This window comes from Homo sapiens, chromosome 15 (assembly GCF_000001405.40).
Source record: "Homo sapiens chromosome 15, GRCh38.p14 Primary Assembly".
Classification (NCBI taxonomy): Eukaryota; Metazoa; Chordata; class Mammalia; order Primates; family Hominidae; genus Homo; species Homo sapiens.
Genome location: NC_000015.10, coordinates 56,681,912 through 56,702,726, shown reverse-complemented (window position 1 = coordinate 56,702,726; position 20,815 = coordinate 56,681,912). Strand labels below are relative to the sequence as shown.

The 20,815-nt window shown below is 33.2% G+C and overlaps 1 protein-coding gene across 5 annotated transcripts in view; it reads left to right on the top strand.

Annotated features, from left to right (window-relative positions):
* Window positions 1-20,815, top strand: part of ZNF280D (zinc finger protein 280D) — a 103,334-nt gene that overhangs the window by 30,783 nt on the left and 51,736 nt on the right. For 3 of the 5 annotated variants that reach the window (NM_001002843.3, NM_001288588.2, NM_017661.4), the window contains 6 exons: window positions 1,489-1,554; window positions 1,655-1,794; window positions 9,512-9,629; window positions 13,257-13,427; window positions 13,577-13,686; window positions 20,250-20,473. In NM_001002843.3, coding sequence (NP_001002843.1) covers window positions 1,489-1,554; window positions 1,655-1,794; window positions 9,512-9,629; window positions 13,257-13,427; window positions 13,577-13,686; window positions 20,250-20,473 — 829 coding nt within the window. Of the gene's footprint in view, window positions 1-1,488; window positions 1,555-1,654; window positions 4,973-9,511; window positions 9,630-13,256; window positions 13,428-13,576; window positions 13,687-20,249; window positions 20,474-20,815 lie in introns of those variants that run through there. The other 2 variants (NM_001002844.3, NM_001288589.2) reach the window with 1 other exon arrangement.

Sequence of the window (20,815 nt, the reverse complement as noted above, 5' to 3'; positions counted from 1 at the left end):
AATGCTAAGTGGAGTGCCACTTGGATTATAAAATGAATTAGGCATGATGGCATCGTCGGTGATAGTGGGACATAATATTCTATTGGTTATTGTTTTATACTGAAATATTATATTGCAAAATTCAAACTCTTATTGAAAACATGACAGTTAAGATTCAAGGTGAATTTATACTGATTGTAGATGACTCTTCATGGTATTCGGGTAGAACACTGTACATTAGTTTTAAAATAATTCCATCAAGAAGGGGATTAACCCCAACAGAATTTCTTTTCTACAGTGTTAAGGTGAATAATTTAAATGGTTTTATTGTTGTTTTATTTGTAAGCCATAAAATATGTTAACATATGGAACATGAGTTAAATGTTTATATAAAACTGCAAGAAAGGAGGGCAAAAACTTGTGATCCATAGACTACACCCACTAAATAGTACTACAGCAATAGCTCTTTCATGGTTTGAGTAAATATTTAATCCTGAATTTCTGAATGAAAACAGTTTCAAGTTCTTTGAGTAGATCTTTCTCTAATAAGACTTCTGTAGTGTTTAATTACAGAGCACTGCATTGACCTTATCAGAAAACAACCATATTTCTGTGTGAACCATTATTTTATAGAATTACTTAATGGGATCTGGTTTCTTTCTACTGTGAGGAAGATAAAAGAAATTTTTATGAGATTTGGTGGGTGGTTTTTTTTTTTTTTTTTGGGTGCTTTTTACCTTTTTCTAACCAGCAATTTTAGGCAAATCCTCATGCTTCCAAACTATAATTTGATAAGCTAGAAGTTACAGAGTTTACATGCATGCAAGAATGAGGAACTTTAAATTGATCCTCAAAGTCATGGCAGGCTCAGATTGACTTCTGGTGTAGTGGTAAATTTGAAACCTCTTAACTAATAAAATGCTATGATGAACTATTGGTTCACTTTAGTCTGCAATCTCTGATAGTTTTTCTTTTTTAACTCAAAACTAATAGTAGATAATCCGATGAGATTTTCTGTAATGCAACTTCAAGGCTTTTAGACGAGTGAATGCAGTGTAGAGGTTGGGCAAGGATTTGATTTTGAATCATAGGAACCTGACTGTATGTAACAGCCCTGTCATCATGCAAAGAAAGATATACATTTAAATTATAGGTTATATATAAATATGTTTTTGGAAAATTTTTATCAAGTATGTGATGTTTCTTTGCAAGCACAATGTTTTGACTCACCTGTAGTCAGATTTGTCATTTCCTTCTGAATTTTGGATTTTGAGTTACAATGAGAAAGATTGTTCTTAGTCTGTAAAACAAAACCTAGTTATCTTGTTTCTTTTGTTTCTTTAGTAGGTAAAGATGTATGTGTTTAAAATGAACTATATTCTTAAATCAGTGATTAGTTATATACTCCTTCCATAAATCTGTTTAAATGTTTTCAATTCATGATTTCTATTATCTTAATATGTATTTCATTCAAACAATGTATTTTAAAATAAATATAATCTTTTATAGATATTTTGAACAGAGTTAACCCCAGCTCATATTCAAGGGGACTAAAGAATGGTGCACTCAGTCGAGGTACAGTATTATTATACTATTTTAATTTTAAAGTGAAGTATTTTGACAAAATTGATTATGTACAAATAATTTCCATATATTGTGTTACTTTAAAATACAGGTATTACTGCTGCATTCAAGCCTACAAGTCAACACTACACGAATCCAACATCAAATCCAGTGCCTGCCTCACCAATAAATTTTCATCCTGAGTCTAGATCTTCAGATAGTTCTGTTATTGTTCAGCCTTTTTCTAAACCTGTAAGTGTTTCTAAAACTATACGGCCAGCTCAGGGATCCATTGGATGTTGTTTATCAATATCAACAGTACCCAGTTACAATTCTGGACTGTCATAAGTAGTCATCCAGTAGAAGCATAGTTAGCATCAGAAAATGTCACCATATTTTCGCTAGCTCAAGCAGTACCCCAAGTAATAACTGAAGGAGCTAACTACCCAACCTGTTAATAACAGGCAGTATGCCTAAATAGGTACAGTAATGAAAACTATACTATCAAAATGTGAATAAAATTATAGTCAGCCATAAATATTGCATAATGACAAATATTTAAGATTGCAGACGGGACCAGGTATTCTTAATTGGGAAAACAGTCAAGTGACCATCATAGCTTTTTATTCTGAAAACATTCCTTCATAGTTCAGTTAGTTAAAAAAAAACAAACATTTTTTCCTATTACAAAAAACTCCCACTTTTTTTGTTACAAAAAGTAATAGAAAATGGTAATAGTTAACATTCATTGAGCTGTTAATATGTATAAGTGTTTGTGCTAAATGCTATAGGTAAATTCATTTCATTTAGTTCTTAAACATCCCCATGAAGTAAACACTATTATTATCCTCATTTTTTAGTTGAGGAAACTGAGGCTCATAGAGGTTGAAAGATTTATTCAAGATCCCAAAGCTGGCAGTTGATGGATCTGGGATTTCAATCCAGCCTAACCCATAGTTTATATGTATATGCACACATACATACATATATGTTGTGTATAAATGTACACTTTTTTAGACATGAAAGAATTGCCTTAGTTGAACAGTTCTCAGATTGTAGTTTGCAATCCCCTGGGGTTCCCCAAGACCCTTTCAGAGGTTTGAGGGTCAACAGTGTTGTCATTATAATCAAAGACTGTTTTCCTTTTCCACTGTGTTGGCATTTGCACTGGTGATGCTAAAGTAATGGTGGATAAGCTGCTGGTGCCTTAGTGTGAATCAAGGTAGTGCCACCAAAGTGTACTTGTAGTTTCTGTATTAGTCACCTGCCGTGCACTCACAGTAAACTACATTACTCAACTGAGTATTACCCAGTTATACCCAATCCCTGATGAAGTATTAAAATGTTATTAGTTTTATTAACTCTCTACACTTGAATGTGTGTTTTTTAAAATATTCTGTGTGATGACATGGGTAGTGTGCATAAAGTACCTCTGTGTCTGAAGTATGATAGTTGTCTTGAGGAAAAGCACTTGTGTGATTGAATTGTGAGGTAAACTACCTGATTTTTTTTTGTTGTTACATGAAAGAATGAGTGACAAATCTTTAAAGTATTTACAATATCACTCCAGAAAAGAAAACAAATCAAATAAATATTGACTCAAAACTCTCCAAGTACATATCAAAATCTCAGGAAGGGAAAAAAGAGTCTAAAGAACAAAATATAACACTATTTTATTTCAGTCATGTTAGTTCAGTTTCCACAGTTTGAACTGGGTATAGATTAATATCTAAAACCAAAAAATGAACATGTGTATAGTGATGCTGAAAAATGTGCATTATTTTTTATTTATATTTTAGGAATAATAAAGTTAGTTATTAAAGAATTTAGTGATTTTGATTGAGTGAGAGGTGTGAGCTATATTTGCTTCTTTCCTGTATGATATACATACATTGTTTCCAATCTCATTTCTATTAAATAACTATAGGAGAGCCCACAGCCTTGTTATTTTACATATCACTATTTAGATATTTGTTATTTATTTATTTGTGTTGGCCTGAAGTAAATGTTACTTTTGTACGATATTTGAAGGATAGATTTATTTTATAAATTAATAGTTTAAATAAGATTTTGCCAGCATTTGAAATGATATTTATTTCTGTGTATCAATATTACCACAAACTTACACAGCTTAAAACAACATACACTCTTTATCTCATGATCTCACAATTTCTGTGGGTCAGGAATCAGGTCATGGCTTAGGTGGGTTTTCTGCTTAAGGATCTCACAAGGCTGCATTCAAGATGTGGTGCCTGAAGTTGCAGTTTCATCTGAAATTCTGTTGGGGAAGTATTTGCTTCCAAGTTCACATGGTTGTTGGTAGCATTCAGTTCCTTAAGGGATGTTGGACTGAGAATCTCTGTATCTTGTTGGCTTTTGGCTGGCTCCTTGCCACGTAGGTCTTCCCAATAAGGCTGCTTGCTTCCTCAAAGCTAGCAGGTGAGAGTGAGTCCTTAGCAAGATGCCCTTACAGTCTTAGGTAACATAATCACGTACACAAAAATCATATATATCCTGTCACCTTTGTTGTGTTCTATTGGTTAAAAGCAAGTCAGAGGTCCTGCCCACACTCAATGGGAGGGAATTACACAGGACCTGAATACCAGGACCTGGGGATTATGGGTAATGACATTTACATGGAGGCCACTTTAGAGTCTGTCTGCCACACACGCTTAGTCAATCTTGATTGTTTGGCAAACATTTCCTCAAATCTGTCACTTCAGCAAAAATAATTGATAGTAATATTTCTTACCAATGGTAAAATTTGAACTTTTAAGCAAAAATTAGAATTTTGGAAAACTCATTTGCCACCGTGATCTTGGCAGCTTTTGAATAAGAGTTTTCTGATGGGTGGTGGTGTTCATAAATAATGATTTTTAAAATATTGTGTAATGAACTATGTCACCATTTGGAAGACCTGTGTAATTCAGTGAAACTAGTATTTTCCACATAACTAGTATATATACTACAAAAGTATGCATGGGTAAAACATACATTTAAAAGCTAAGATAGACCAATGATTTTAATGGAACGGGTGTTCTGGGATACGGTTTCAGATTTCACACTGCAACAAACCTTTAAGAAAGTACCAACTGTTCAGTTTTGGTATAGTATCAAAGTAGTATATCCACAGTTAATTAAAACCCTATTAAAACACTCCCTTTTCCAGTTATATATTCCTGTGAGGCAGAATTTAATAATACTCCTCAACCAAAACAACATGTCATAGTAGACTGAAGGCAGAAGCAGATAAGAGACTAAAACAATTTTTGATTAAGCTAGATATTTAAGAGCTTTGCAAAGATGTGAAACAATGCCACTTTTCACTAGTTTTTTTTGCGTTTGCAAGTCATTTTTCATTAAAATGTTATTTATGTTAATTTGTAATGAGTTTGTTATTTTAAAATGAATAAATAAATATTATAAAATATTCTCTGTTTTAATTTCTAATATGGAAAATATTGATAGATATAACCAATGTGAACAAAAAGTCTTTTTGGGTTCAACAATTTTTAAGTGCATAAGATGATTCTGAAGCCAAAGAGTTAGGGCACCACTGTCTCAGAAAAATAGTAGTACATTTTCCTAAAAATGTATATTGTTTAAATAATAAGAACAATAAGGGAGACTGCTGAGTCTCTATCTTCAATCATCTAAGGTTCTACAGGCTATTTCTAATGTTTTAAAAAATGTAACAGGTGGCTGGGCGTGGTGGCTCACGCCTGTAGTCCCAGCACTTTGGGAGGCCGAGGCGAGTGGATCACCTGAGGTCAGGAGTTTGAGACCAGCCTGGCCAACAGGGCAAAACCCTGTCTCTACTAAAAATAAAAAAGTTAGCTGGGCATGGTGGTGGGCGCCTGTAATCCCAGCTACTTGGGAGGCTGAGGCAGGAGAATCACTTGAACCTGGGAGGCGGAGGTTGCAGTGAGCTAAGATCCTGCCACTGCACTCCAGCCTGGGTGACAGAGTGAGACTCCATCTCAAAAAAAAAAAAGTAATAGGTGTTCCTGAAGGTATAGCGGGAAAGGTACCCAGAATGTAAAAATTCTTTGCTATTAGTTGGAATCAAATTAACTTAGTGGTTTCTTTTATGCTTATTATAAGCTGTTTGGCATTTGAGGGAAAAAAATAGAAAAACAAAACATTATTTAATAGTTCGTTAGGTAAAAATCTTTCCAACGTTTGACCGAGGATGGGGAAAAAAAATAAAAGCAAGAGTTTGTACGTTTGGTGTTATAAGAGTTAGGAATTAGATTCCTTTCTGACTCAGAATGTTTTGGGCATAGTTTTTAAATCAAAGCACCTCAGCTGATGGTTCCCAGTACTTGGGTTCTTTTAAAAAATGAGAGGTTTTGCCAGTTGGTCTGGGTGGAACCCAGAAATGATAGCTGCTTAAAAACTCTTCAAGTGTGATTCTACTGTGCAGTCAAAGTTAAGAATGACAGAGGAGTATTCTGGAATGAATTGAGAATCCTGTTTAAGTGACTTTTCTCTGAATTTTGGAAGTCATTTTAATAAACTATAGTAGTTTTTTATTTTATGTCATATTTTGTGTGTGTGTTTTTACTTTTTCATGGAATGTGGTATCTCAACATCGCTTTCAGGTTGGCAGGGATGGGATATATTATTATGACCCAGAAAGTCAATGTGATATAGCTTAAGTGCATGGGCTTTGTAATCAGTCAGACCTGGATTCTATTTCCAGCTCCATCAGCAACAAGTGGGGCTGTACTGGGAGCCTTACTCGACCCCACCTAACCTTAGTTTACCTATTTATAAAATGAGGAATAATATTAGGTCCTTATTAGTATTGTTGTGATAGCTGCATGATATGATACGTGTACCATGAAGAGCAAGTACGTTTAAAACAAACAATTGTGATTATTATTTCAGTTTGAAAGGTGAGTAACTTGAAACTCAGAAGTAACTTTTCCATTTTTTCACAAATATTTGGAGAAAATGTTTACTTTGAAGTAAGATTATGTTTTATTACTGTTAAATCATAGGGCATGATAAAAAGAAAATACTACATGTTGAGGCCCAAATACCTACATCTGCCTACTAGGCCTCAAATTCTAGGATTAGTTTGAGTTACATCAATAGCTTGTTTCCGTAACTTCTTAACAAACCCATGTCAATAGAAAAGTTAGTAATAAAGCAAAATTCTTAAAACTTGAATATTCCTTAATTTATAATAATAAAACTTTTATGTTTCTCTTATGAAGTAATATGTATTTGGGGACAGAGTTTAGAAAAGTGAGAAGAGTGTATCAGGACCCTATAGTATTTGCAAATACATATTTCTCTTTTTTCACTGAACATTCTACTTGGAACATTTCCTAAAAAAATGTTAATTTGGCCGGGTGCAGTGCCTCACACCTGTAATCCCAGCACTTTGGGAGGCTAAAGTGGGCAGATCACAAGGTCAAGAGATGTAGACCATCCTGGCCAACATGGTAAAACCCTGTCTCTATTAAAAATACGAAAATTAGCTGGGCATGGTGGTGTGCACCTGTAGTCCCGGCTACTCGGGAGGCTGAGGCAGGAGAATTGCTTGAACCCAGGAGGTGGAGGTTGCAGTGAGCCAAGATCACACCACTGCACTCCAGCCTGGTGACAGAGTGAGACTCCGTCTCAAAAAAAAAAAAAAAGTTAATTTTTGCACAATAGTTTTATCAGTTTAATCATTTCTCCATTGTTAGACATACAGGTTATAATTGTTTTTCTGTTATAACTAATTTTCCCTTAAACATTTTTATTTCATTACCATAAATTCTTAAAAATGGAATAATTAGATAAAAGGGGGTGAACCGGCTGGGCATAGTGGCTTACCCCTGTAATCCCAGCACTTTGGGAGGCCAAGGCAGGTGGATCACCTGAGGTCAGAAGTTCAAGACCAGCCTGACCAATCTGATGAAACCCTGTCTCTACTAAAAATATGAAAATTACCTGGGTGTGGTGGCATGAGCCTGTAGTCCCAGCTACTCAGGAGGCTGAGACAGGAGAGTCAGTTGAACCCAGGAGGCAGAGGTTGCAGTGAGCGGAGATCAGGCCATCACACTCCAGCCTGGGCAACAAAAGTGAAACTCCATTTCACACACACACACACACACACACAAAGGAAGTGAACCTTTTAAAGCCTTCAGTAGCTACTGCCAAAGCTTTTATGCAGAAAAATTATACTAAAATATAAGCTCTACTTTGCCAATAATGAATGTTATCATTGCTTTTTAACTCAAACTAATATTAGACACAGAAAAAATAGTACAAACAGTTCCCATATACCCCTTACCCAGTTTCCCTTTATTTTAACATCTTATCACAACTGGGTAATTAACATTAACCCAACTATAGACTTTACTGGAATTTCATCAGTTTTCCCATTAATGTTCTTTTTCCTGCCCAGTATCCTATTCAGGATACTTGCAGTTACTTCTTTTTAATTTCCTCGTATTTTCTAGTTATTCATTCTTTCTTTGTCTTCCATGAACTTGACACTTTTAAGAGTAGTGGCTAATTAATTTATTTTGTAGTAGATATTATGGTAACATGCCAATTCATTAGTTAAATGTTGCTGTTGTTTTTATTTGCATTTCTTTGGCTGGTAATTTGGAAAAAAGGTATTTCGTATATGTTGTTCATTAGTATTTGACTTCTGAATTCTCTCAGTTTATGTCCTTTGCCCATATTTTTCCTAAAGTGATAGCCTTTTTTCCTTTAATTTTTAATCATTGTTAATCCGCTTGTTATGTATTATGACATGTAGAATGGTCCAAAAGTCACTCTGAGAGCTTACCGTCCACAATGAGTATCTTTTAGAAGTATTAATGGTATTGGAGTATACTTGTGTGTGTGTGTGTGTGTGTGTGTGTGTGTGTGTGTGTGTGTGTATGTGTCATTATATTTAATGTATAATAATATCGGAGTGTATGTCCCTAAATTATATTGACCATATTTTTCATAATTATGTACACCATGTATGTATGCTCATATATAACTTTATACTGCTTTATACTTGAGCCCATTATCATTCATCTCATACTTTTCACTCCTCTCTTCTTAAGATCTTCCTTTTAGTTTGGACCACCCTTTCTCCTGATGGAAGGGCTAAAACTTCCTTTGAGTCCCGAGGCCTCCAGGAGCAGGACAGCTGGCCCCAATTATTCCCATAAACAACTTCTGTTCTAAACCCTGTCTGCCTGGCATTCTTATTTGTTCACTCTACTGACCGGTTTGCTTTCATATTTGCCTGATAAGACAGAAGATTCCTGGCCTAGCGTGGCTTTCTATGGGATGATGGAAAGTGTGTGGGGCCCATTTTTTCTCTTTCTGACACATAGCTTATACATTTCTCCAATAAAGATGATTTCAAAATTCACATTATGTGATATATTCATCCTTAACACTGATGCACAATACTGCAGATTGATTCCGTTTGTTTGCCCTGATATCTCAGATGTGAGGTTTTTAGAAGCATAGAAGCTTTTAATTTTTTTGGTCATGTAAATATGGTTTTTTTTTTCTCCTTGCTTTTGCCCAAAGATTTTGCTAAGTTCTATTTTTTGTCCTTTAATGGGGATACTGAATCTTTAGAAGTCATCTAAAGTGTATCAATCTTACTGATATATAAGTTGATTTATGTTTCTTTTACCTTGAAGAAGTTGAACTAAGAATATGCCCCCCATTTTAGTTTTCTAGTCAGCAGTAAACCAGCTCTAAGTAATAGCTTGCTTTCAGTTTCAGTAGATGATAATTTTGGCAAAGTAGCAATTATCTTTGTGTTTTTAACTTATTAATAATTGAGTTATCAAAGGGTTTCCTTAGAATATTGGGCATACAATTTACTTTTATAAATGTCTATGAAATAAAATTCTTATATAATTATATAAAATTACATAATATATAATTATATTGAAATAATTATAACTGTTGAATAAATGTATTATTTTTCCTTTGAACTATTTAACAGGGTTATATAACAAACTCATCACGAGTTGTGTCTAATAAGTCATCAGAGTTACTGTTTGACTTGACCCAGGATACAGGATTATCACATTACCAAGGGGGACCAACACTTTCTATGGCAGGTTGGTTTTAGTATTTTTTTCATAAAGGTTATAGAAAGAAACTTGATGAATATGCATATGAGATTGACTTTCTGTTTTGAAGTCCCTACCCTTGTGTGAAGTTTTTCATATATTGTAAGGTGGAACGTCACTAGTACTTGAATACCTTATGTGGGTAATTTTCTGTAAAATCCTATTTAATGACAGAATATTTTATTTCTTCCTATTAAGTAAGCTAACCAACTTTGAACTAATTCTCACTTGGAGCTAACCATAGCTGAGAAATATTAAAATAATTTCTGTGAGTTAGAGAACTTCTCAGGTAGCCTGAATACTCTGTTTAAAAAAGTATTAATTAGTTTCTATGGACACTAGTGTGAAAAATATATGGCTATAGTTGATTTCTTAATTAGTTTAATGTCTTTCTATTCTAATTGTTTCAGCGTGATAGTTCAATATGATTATAAAGTGCTATTATAAACTCCCAACAATAAATAAATAGTGATTTGTACATAGTAAGTACTCATGAAATGTACATTGAAGGATTAGTGAACTTTCCCTGTTGAGGAACATTTAAAGTTCTTTGATTGTATACTGTAACAAAGTTCTTCATTAATCTAAAATAAATTAGTGTACTATAAAATAATTTTATCTAATTGAAAATTCCCTGTAATCAAGGCAGTTACTCTTTGTATCTTAGCAATTTGTATCTATTCAAATATTTGACTAAACAGACGTATACATGATTTTTTGGAATTTTTAGATTTACTAGCAAATCAGTGCGGAGAATTTACCAAACCCTCTCCCAGTTTTTTTTTAATAGTAATACTTTTATTATAAACTTAAACTGTTTTTCCAATTTTTTAATACTTGATTTGATATTCACCTCTCTGGGTGTCACTTACGTATTTAGTAACAATCTGGTTTGTGAAATAGGTAAGAACCAAAAGAAACAGGGAGAAAAAAATAGTTGTCTTAAGTCTGGTTTCATAAAGCATGTAGATTTATTCATAGAAAAAGTCTAAATTCTTGAAACTTCTTGGGAATAAAGAGAAATAATGACTCCTATTCTTTCTGTATAAGTGTTCTACTTCAGTGAGTGGGACTTTAGCCTGAGCAGTAAGTGGGATGATTTGATCCTCTATTCTTAAGATTTTTGTAGTCTCTATTAAGTTACCTAACCACTTTGGTTTTCTCATATTGTTAAAAGGGAGATTTTAATTTTTTTTGTAGAATGCATTCATTCTTCACATCTGGAACCATTCATTTGGACATGTAACTTTAATTCTTGCTCTACTTAGGGATTTTTTATGTCCAAATCCAAGTGAAATGTGAGAATACATTATAAGCTTTAAAAGACTTGACAATACAGTTATTCTGAATGATAATTATGAATGATATGTGCCACATGTTCAGTAACATGATTAACACACTACCATCTAGGGAGATTATGGGGGTTTGGAGAAAACTGGATTTGAGCTAAATCTTGAATGAGAATAGGATTTTTACCAGCAGAGAGAGAGCTGTTGAGGGTAGGGAGCAACACAAGCCAAACACAGCAGAGAAATAAGTTAAAGCATCAAAATTTAAAACAAATACAGAGTGATTTTATTTAATCTTGAGATTTCTTGTTTTAAAAATTCTTAAAGCAGTCTGTTTCTACTGTCCAGCCTCCTATATAATCAGATGCTTAATTCAGAATTCCAGCATTCATTGGTTTTTCAGGTAACTTAAACATCTCACAAGAATGTGAATGTGATTATACAGAATTTTTCCAATGTACCTACAGTATATCTATCAGTAATCGAGTATTTTGAAGATGGAAAAAAATCATTTTTATGTTATCTGAAAAGGATGAAAGAGAGAAGCCAAGTAGTATAATACTCTTATTTTGCTGTAATGTTTGCCCTTATTAAAAAGCTGACAGGTTAATCTATTATTATATTTTTCCCCTCTGAGGTAAGTTAAATATAAAATATTTTGTTAGTAATGATAATATCTGTAATTTATTACTGAGTGCTTTCTGTGTACCAAATGTTTTGTTGGGTGCCTTAAGTACATTATCTTATTTGGTCCTTAAAGCAGCTCTGTAAACTTGTAACTTATTTTATAAAAAAGCAAACTGAGGCTTAGAGAAATTAAGCTAACATAACTAGACTAGAGAGTGACAAGTTAACATAACTAGAGAGTGACAAGTTAACTAGTTAACATAACTAGAGAGTAACATTAACATAACTAGAGAGTGACAAGGTGTGGATTTGAACTTATCTGACTTTAAAACCTGGAATACTTCTAATATAGTTACCGTACCATTTCTACTTTTAATGTACAATTGTGAGGATTAAAATATGATGTACAGATTTAGAATCTCTTTTACAAAGTACAGTTGTATGTTATTTTCAAAAAAAAACTTTTCCGAGCCTTTTTATAGCCTGGATATCCTCATTTCTCTTGAGAATGCATTAAATAAAACTAAAATCCTTCAGCCTTAACAAAATGGTTTTCAAATGGGAAAGTATTTTTAGGAATGAAATCCTTATATAAAAATTTTATGCAAAATTTAAATAAAAGAAAAAAGAGTTCCTCTGTTAAACATGCTCAATATATTCTCTAAAACAAACCCATTAATTTCTGGGGAACATAGTGTGAAAATCATTATACTTACTACTTCCATTATGTGTGAAAATCATTATACTCACTACTTCCATTATGTGTCCTTTGTTTTTTTATTTTTTTTGAGACAGAGTCTTGCTCTGTTGCCCAGGCTGGAGTGCAGTGGCGCGATCTCGGCTCACTGCAAGCACCGCCTCCCAGGTTCATGCCATTCTCCTGCCTCAGCCTCCCGAGTAGCTGGGACTACAGGTGCCCGTCACCACGCCAGGCTAATTTTTTGTATTTTTAGTAGAGATGGGGTTTCACCATGTTTGCCAGGCTGGTCTCTATCTCCTGACCTCGTGATCTGTCTGCCTCAGCCTCCCAAAGTGCTGGGATTACAGGCGTGAGCCACCGTGCCTGGCCTATGTGTCCTTTCATATAAATGAATGAAGTGTTATCATTCAAGATTAGTTATTTCCACTTTCTGCGTAGCGATGAATGGGTAATACCACTCAAAGCCATGAGTAGACCGCTCTTACCTACTCTTCAGTTTGTTAGGTAGGAAAGAACTAAATTTCCATTAGACATTTTAAGTTGTTAAATTGAAAAAAGCATCTTAAGAGTATCTCTAAATTTTTGAAACAGGTAATTGTTGTTTTTTTACAAACTCTAGTGTACTCAATGCACTTAAGCATCTAAAGATAATTCATTTGTCAGAACTTATTCATAGTATACTTTTTTTTTTGGCTTGGAATATTGGTCTGGCTCCCTTTGTGATAGCTATTTATATATTTCTTTATTTGAAGCCATATTTAGAATTTTCTTTCATAGAGGGATTATTTTTTTAATTATTTAAATGTATGTAGTCCATGATAAATATATGTGCAATTTCTTTACACCCTTGAGTTTGGATCATATCAAGTTTTATCATTATTGTCATGATATGATAATTCAATTATATTACCTTTAATTTAGCTCCAAAATATTTTTACTCAGATGTAAATAATATTCTAATTTTAAAAAATATTTTTCTCACTATTTAAATTATTGTAGGTATGAGTGAAAGTTCATTTTTATCAAAACGTCCTTCTACTTCTGAAGTAAATAATGTTAATCCAAAGAAGCCTAAACCCAGCGAAAGTGTTTCTGGAGCAAATTCCTCAGCTGTATTACCTTCAGTTAAATCTCCTTCAGTGACTTCTTCCCAGGCTATGCTAGCAAAAGGTAAATATGAAATGTGGTACATAAAAAGAAGTTATAGTATTTATACATACATTTTTGAAGTGGCTATAAATTTTAAAAGTATTATTAGTGGTTATTTAAGGTTAAAAAGTGATGAATTTTGAGTCATAAATGTTCTGAATTTATTTTAGGTACAAATACCTCATCAAATCAGTCTAAAAATGGAACACCTTTTCCAAGAGCTTGTCCAAAGTGCAACATTCATTTCAATCTTTTGGATCCTTTGAAAAATCACATGAAGGTAAAACTCTTTCAAAATTTAATTTGTAAAAAGTTTGCACATTTCTAAAAATACTGATGATTACAGTAATTAATGGTTTGTCCAGAAATAATCTCATTGGTATTTCCATTTAATTTAAATAAAAATTTACATTCATAATGATTATATAGATTCTCAAATTCCTTCTAAATCCTCAAATTTTAAAACTTAAATTTGTATATATTATAATGTATGCTTATTGTATTTTAATTTTAAATAAAAATAATGTATTAATCCGATTATTTTATTTATTAGGTCATACTCTTCAAATGTCTTATAAAACAGGCATTTTATTACGTATTTACTTTTGCATATAAGTTAAAAATTCCGTTACCTTATTTTTGTGTCCATGTTAACATGTACATGTCACATTACACAATGAAAATCTGAGTTTTACATTTTAGTTTTTAACACTCAGGTATAAACTCCAAATGTTGAAGCATTTCATATGAAATAATTGTTTTAACTCAGTCCAGAATATAGTTCATATAATTGTGTAAATTAATTTGAGCTTTTTTTTTTTTTTTTTTTTTGAGACGGAGTCTCGCTCTGTCACCCATGCTGGAGTGCAGTGGCAGATCTCTGGGGACTGCAAGCTCCACCTCCCAGGTTCACGCCATTCTCCTGCCTCAGCCTCCCAAGTAGCTGGGACTACAGGCGCCCGCCACCACGCCCGGCTAATTTTTGTATTTTTAGTAGAGATGGGGTTTCATCGTGTTAGCCAGGATGGTCTCGATCTCCTGACCTCGTGATCCGCCCGCCTCAACCTCCTAAAGTGCTGGGATTACAGAATTTGAGCTTTTTATTGGTACAAGAAGCCCCTGAATTTAGGTTTTAAGAAATGTTCAAAGTACTAGTGAAGTATGAGATTTAGGTAACATTTAAAGTATTTTAGTAGATATTATAGTATCCTGCTGTGTTTGTGTAGAGATGGTCTGTACTCCCCTTGCATGCCCAGTATAAATGACAGGAAGGGAGAAAAGAGATCAGAAAAAAGGCAGTGTAGATTATATAAGGAAAAGAAGGAAGGAGAGGGGTGCAATGGCAAAGAAGTAACTTAGGAAAAGTTTTTGCTGTTTCAGAGATTGACATATTTTTATTGAAATTCAGCATTTTACAAAAAAGGTAGAAAAAATAAGGGAACTTAAAAAAGTTATAAATACAGTCTTCTTATATACGTACAGAGCCATATTTGGTCTGTCCTTACTCTCAGAGTATAGCCCTGGATAACTGCACGTTGTGTTTTGGTCTTATAGGAGAATTATCCTGTAGAAGTACTTTCAATTTTCCTCTTCTGTGTAATGTTTTGATGAGATTTCTGATGTTTTTTGTGTTTTGCATTATAGATGAAGAAAACAAAGACTACATTCTTTATCTGTTTAATTTTTTAAGTAGGTAGCAATACAGTCACATGATTCAAAATTAAAAAGCCTGCAAAGATATACATGTGAAGAATCTTATCTCTGTGTCTTTTTTTACCTGGTTCCTAGTATGACTCAAAGAAAATAATTTTTTATTAGTTTGTTTTGAATGCTCCCTGGGTTTCTTTCTGGATGTACAAGTAAACATGAGTGTTCTTATTTTCTATTTTGTACAGAAATTGTGGCATGTTATATATATCTCTGCATCTGGAGAGAATGGCAACATTCTCCAAAATGTGGCTTTTATGTGTTACTTCATGGTTTGTAATTACTTACAGTAGAAACAACCAGAACTTCATAGAATTTTCATATTAATATAATAGAACATTATGACATTTTAAATAAGGAAAGTATCTCTGTCATTGTAAGAAATTGTATTTCTTACAACTGAACTAAGTTGAAGATAATATGAACAGTGTATGTGTTTATATCATAAGGAAATCTTGAAAGAATAGTCTCCAAATCTAGGAAGGGAAAGTTTAAATCTGTGGGGACTTTTTATTTTCTAGTTTATATATTTTTATGTATCAGCTAAAGTTTTAGTGTTATAATAACTTTCATTTTGAAAAGAATGTGATTTTTACATTATTTGTGAATGATTTTTTTGCCAACTAGCATATAATGTTTTCTTTCAATGGAAAAATATTTAAAATATCAAATATTCTACAATAATTAGAAAAATATACTTATCTGAGACTATGTGTCAGACACAGTACTAAGCTTTAAATACATTATTTCATTAATCCTTAGAAAATTCTTTAAGATTATTTTTTCTCATTGTTGTATAACCAATTAACTGGCGTAACTAGCTTTCAAAACTCAGTTTCTTTAATGGTAAAGCCCAAGTTTTCACAAATCCTTTTTGTTTTGTAAAGTATAGGGGGTATTCAATATTATGTGGAAGATTGAAAATAGGTATATTACTTCTCCTTTGGGGTATGGAATTCGATATTTATCAACCAAATATAGCTTATTAATTATATTTATATTTCTGTGTCTTCACTTCCATTTAGTCCACTTGATCTGTCCTGGATTGGGAAACACCACATTTCAGTCCACAGCTTTCATTACCAGTATTTTCTTTCATATATTGCAATTTTGTTTCAAAGTTGTTGCTGTTGTTTATGATATAGAAGAATCTAGCTTTTATAACTATATTATGAGGCCGGGAGTCATGGCTCACACCTGTAATCCCAGCACTTTGGGAGGCCGAGGCCAGCAGATCACCTGAGGTCAGGAGTTCGAGACCAGCCTGGCCAACATAGTGAAACCCCATCTCTACTAAAAATACAAGAACTTAGCCAGGCATGGTGACACACGCCTGTAGTCCCACTGCTTGGGAGGCTGAGGCGAGAGAATCGCTTGAACCTGGGAGGCGGAGGTTGCAGTGAGCCGAGATGGCACCACTGCCCTCCAGCCTGGGTAACAGAGTGAGACTGTCTCAAAAATAAAATAAATAACTGTATTGTGAATGTATCCTTTAGCATTTTAATAAAATATCCTTTTCTTGGTTTTAATGGTTAGTGCCTTTTAGCCCAAATTCTACTTTGATGTTAGACTCACAACCCCTGTTATGGTTTCCATTTACCTGGTGTATTCTTTGTTTAGTCTTTTATTTTCAACTCTTCTGAATTACTTTGTTTTAGGTGTGCCTTTTGCTTTTAGCAAAGTTGATTTTTCTTTTGTGATCCTATATGAAAATCTCTTCTTTTAATAGTGGGTTTAGATTTACCAATATGATAGATTTATTTGGTCTTAGTTCTGTTAAAATTTTTCTTTCTCTCTTTTTTAAAAGCCTTTCACAATGTGGTTGCTTTATGTGTGTGTAGCTTAGGTTTCTAAGAGAGTTGTAGTTTTGTTCTCCTGATTATGTTTCTAATTTTAATGTATAACTCCACTAGTCTTCTATTCCTTTAGCAATTCTCTACTGTTCTTTTCTATGAGGAAGGATTAAAGTAGCATGAAACTTCCTGTTTTTAACCCACCCATCTTTCCCTTCTTTTTTGCTACTTGATTTTAGTCAATATTGTCTGAGCATTTGTTTACCTTTGCTGTCAAAATGTCTATACCTATATTACTTTATTTGGTGGCTCTAACTGATATTCCTTTATGAACTGTGAGGCAATCTATGAACTCTTCACCTTGTACTCTTTGTCCTTTTATCCTCTCCCAATTTTTATTTGTTCATTGTATTGTTTTTCCATTGTCAGGGCATATGACATTACATTTTTGTTTGTTTTGTTTTGTTTTGTTTTGTTTTTTTACCTTATGTCATATTTGTTTTGATCTTTTTCTACAGTAAATATAATCCACTGTTCATCATCAGTGTTTTTGTCATGGTTTATTTCGTTTTCTGTTTGGCTGAAGTTCATTCTGTAGTAATTTCATTTAGGAGGAGTCTGAAAACATCTTTCTGTGAGGTCGTTCATGTTCAAAGCAATTTGACTGTAGTCCATTCTGTAAAGACAGTTTGATCTAATATAAAGTAAATTGAATCCCACTATCAGGATTTTGTTGGTATAGCTCCCGTTTTCTAGTATTCAGTGTTGCTTTTGAGGAATCTGGGACAAGCTGAATTATTTTGCCTTTTATAAGTGGTTTGATCTTCTTGTTTGGCAGTCTGTAGCTTTTTGGTTGTCTACATTCTTTATGTTTTGAAGACTGATAATTTTATAATGATATAACTTGGTGTTGGGAATTTTGGGTGAGTCCTCTCTGGCATACACCTTGTTCTTTCAACCTGTATATTTGGATTTAGCACAGTTTATTTGAATTGTATTTTAAAATATTTATTCCATACAATTTCATCTCCAATATGAATTTGTTTTATCTTCTTTCCCTGACATATGTCTTTTTTTTTCTAATCCTTAATTTTTTTAAATGGACTTTTCTCCTACTAATATGTTTCCTTTATTTTATTTGCAATGTCTACTCACCACTGTATTCCTTCCTAATTTGTCTTCATGTCTCTGATTTTATTTTTTTCCAATACTTTCACCCTTGCAATGTCTACTCACCACTGTATTCCTTCCTAATTTGTCTTCATGTCTCTGATTTTATTTTTTTCCTATACTTTCACCCTTGATTTTGCCACTCTTTTTTTTCCTTCTAAATATCTTGTTGTCTTGGCATCTTTTCTTGCTTTGTGGTCTTCCAAATAGAGGCAGTTGCTTCATTATGTTTTTAAAATTTGTGGCTACTGTTTTCATCTGCAACTGCTCCACGGCAGCATAATTCTGATGTTTTTGTTAGAATTTTACATTTTTCTGTTATTTGCCTTCTTTTATTACATGGTATTTTTGTTTAGATGTGAGTGCCTATAGTGTTTAACAAGTTGGATTTTCTTGGGCCAGCTGTTTTATACAAGTTCCTTTTAGGAGGAAGCATAGGTTGCCAGGATAGTCTCACAGCTTGCTAGCTGGTTTAAACAGCTTTTTGCTGGGCAGAAGGCTTCCTGCAATTGTGACTTGTGTGTCTGATTCTTTATGTAGCACCGCCTTTCTGCTTCTCTGTACTGAATCAGGTCTGGGGTACTTCTGCTGCCATCCTTCTTGCCTCAGCTTCTGCACCTGTTTTTGCAAACAGAGGATATACCCTTGTGATTCAGAATATGTGTTTCACCTTTAAGATGTGTATTTTTACTGACCCTTTAAGATCTGTTACCACTGGGTCCCCTTTACTTCTCTGGTTTACTTCTAGCTAAATGCCATCTGCCCGATGTTGGCTTCTTTGAATAGTGCTTTCGTATATTATGGAGTCTGTGGCTTTTATCTGACCCTTAGTTTCAATGATAAACCAATTTGTGGAATTTGGTTGTGTAGCTTTTGGATGACTCTCAGGAGGAAAAGAGGAAAATGTTGACTGATGTTGGATGTTCACATGAGAAGCCCTATTTAACTATAAAAATAGGATCTCACCTCCTTTGCTCTGAAAAACCCACCTAAATTTTTAGGGCACTAACAAAGCAACAGAACATGGTCTGTGTACTGGGAGGAGTAAAGATAAGAATGATAGATAGATGGTGCCTGATATTTGTCAAACTATAGTATATGGCATTAAAGTACATATTTAATATTTGCAGAATCTTTAACCCACAAAAATAAGGGATAAATAAGGAGTTGCAGTGAAGATCTATTAATAAAACTAAAAGGTACCAGGGCTGAATAAAAGATGACCAGTTGATATTGTACCACAGCTCAGCTATGCCCCTCCGTAGCTTGCTCTATCCTCCTATAAAACCTTAAATCTAAGCTTGGTTCTCATCTCTTAAGGTGCTTATTTGTTTTTTTGGATAAGCAAGGATACTTTGCCGTTCTCAATGACTAAATCCTTCACCCTAATTCACTACAAGTTGTTGTCCATTTTTGGTTGTCAATGGTTTATTATTCAGCTCTTTTATAGAGATATGAAACATTGTTTAAAAGGTACTCTGTGAACAAAGTTTATATGTTTATTTAAAAAATCTGATCCTATCCTACTTTTCTGTTAAAAAAATAGAAAAACAGCAAGTAATTTATCATCTATTATGGGTATCATAATTTATAGCTATTTTAGGGTAATCTTTAATGTTCATAGACTAACTTTGCAATGTTATTTGATAATTTTACATTTGGGACAGAAGATTATCCACATTTCTAATTAAGGAGCCTATTCTATATTATATAATTTTTGTATATTTTAATTTTTCCTCAACCAGGCTTTATGAAATTTTATATATCACTTGATAATTAAATATATACATCAAGGCATATAAACATTTCCTTTCTATACATCTTGACGTGGACATGAGATGAATGATTTTTAGTTAAGGAACAGATTATTATTAAATATTTACATCTAAAAAGGCAAATTGCAAGGGTAAAGCTGTTAGAGCTATGGCCATGTCTTGGTTTTAGGGTTTCTCAAATCTTTTTGAATTTTTACATGAAGATAATAGGTGTTTATTATTTGAATTTTTAGACTATGTACATGCACCACAAATTTTTGGTGACTATTTTTCTAGATATATTACAAGCATAGTTTTAATGGTCTGGCCTTAGGTGTAAACACACAATCACTTTTTGGTATGTGGTTTTTTTAAAGAATAAGTAAGGCTTGTTTTTTTTTTTTTTTTTTCTCTTTCAGTATTGTTGTCCAGACATGATAAATAACTTTTTGGGACTGGCTAAAACAGAATTTTCAAGTACAGTAAATAAAAACACAACTATTGATTCAGAGAAAGGAAAATTGATCATGTTAGTTAATGACTTTTATTATGGAAAACATGAAGGAGATGTCCAGGAGGAACAGAAGACTCACACAACCTTTAAATGCTTCAGTTGCTTGAAAATTCTAAAAAATAACATTAGGTATGTAAATACTTGTTTTTATTTCTATTGAAAATTGAAATGCTGCAAATAAAAATGTTATACTTTTATTTTGTGTTTTCTATGCCATTCTAGGTAAGTGATTTTAACACTTTCTACTGAGAATAAAGGCGGATTCTCTTGTTGAAAAGCTCTGTCCTTTCTTGTGTTGTGGAGTTTGACTCTTGGATCCAGTTAGTTATATTTCTTTCACATAGCTTAAGAAAAGACTGTTTATTTTAACTTAAGACAAAATGAACTTCTTTTTTCTGTTTTAGTCGTGATTTTTGAATTTTTATTAGACATTTTTTATTTTCTAATTGCCTTTGAATTTTATATTTCTTC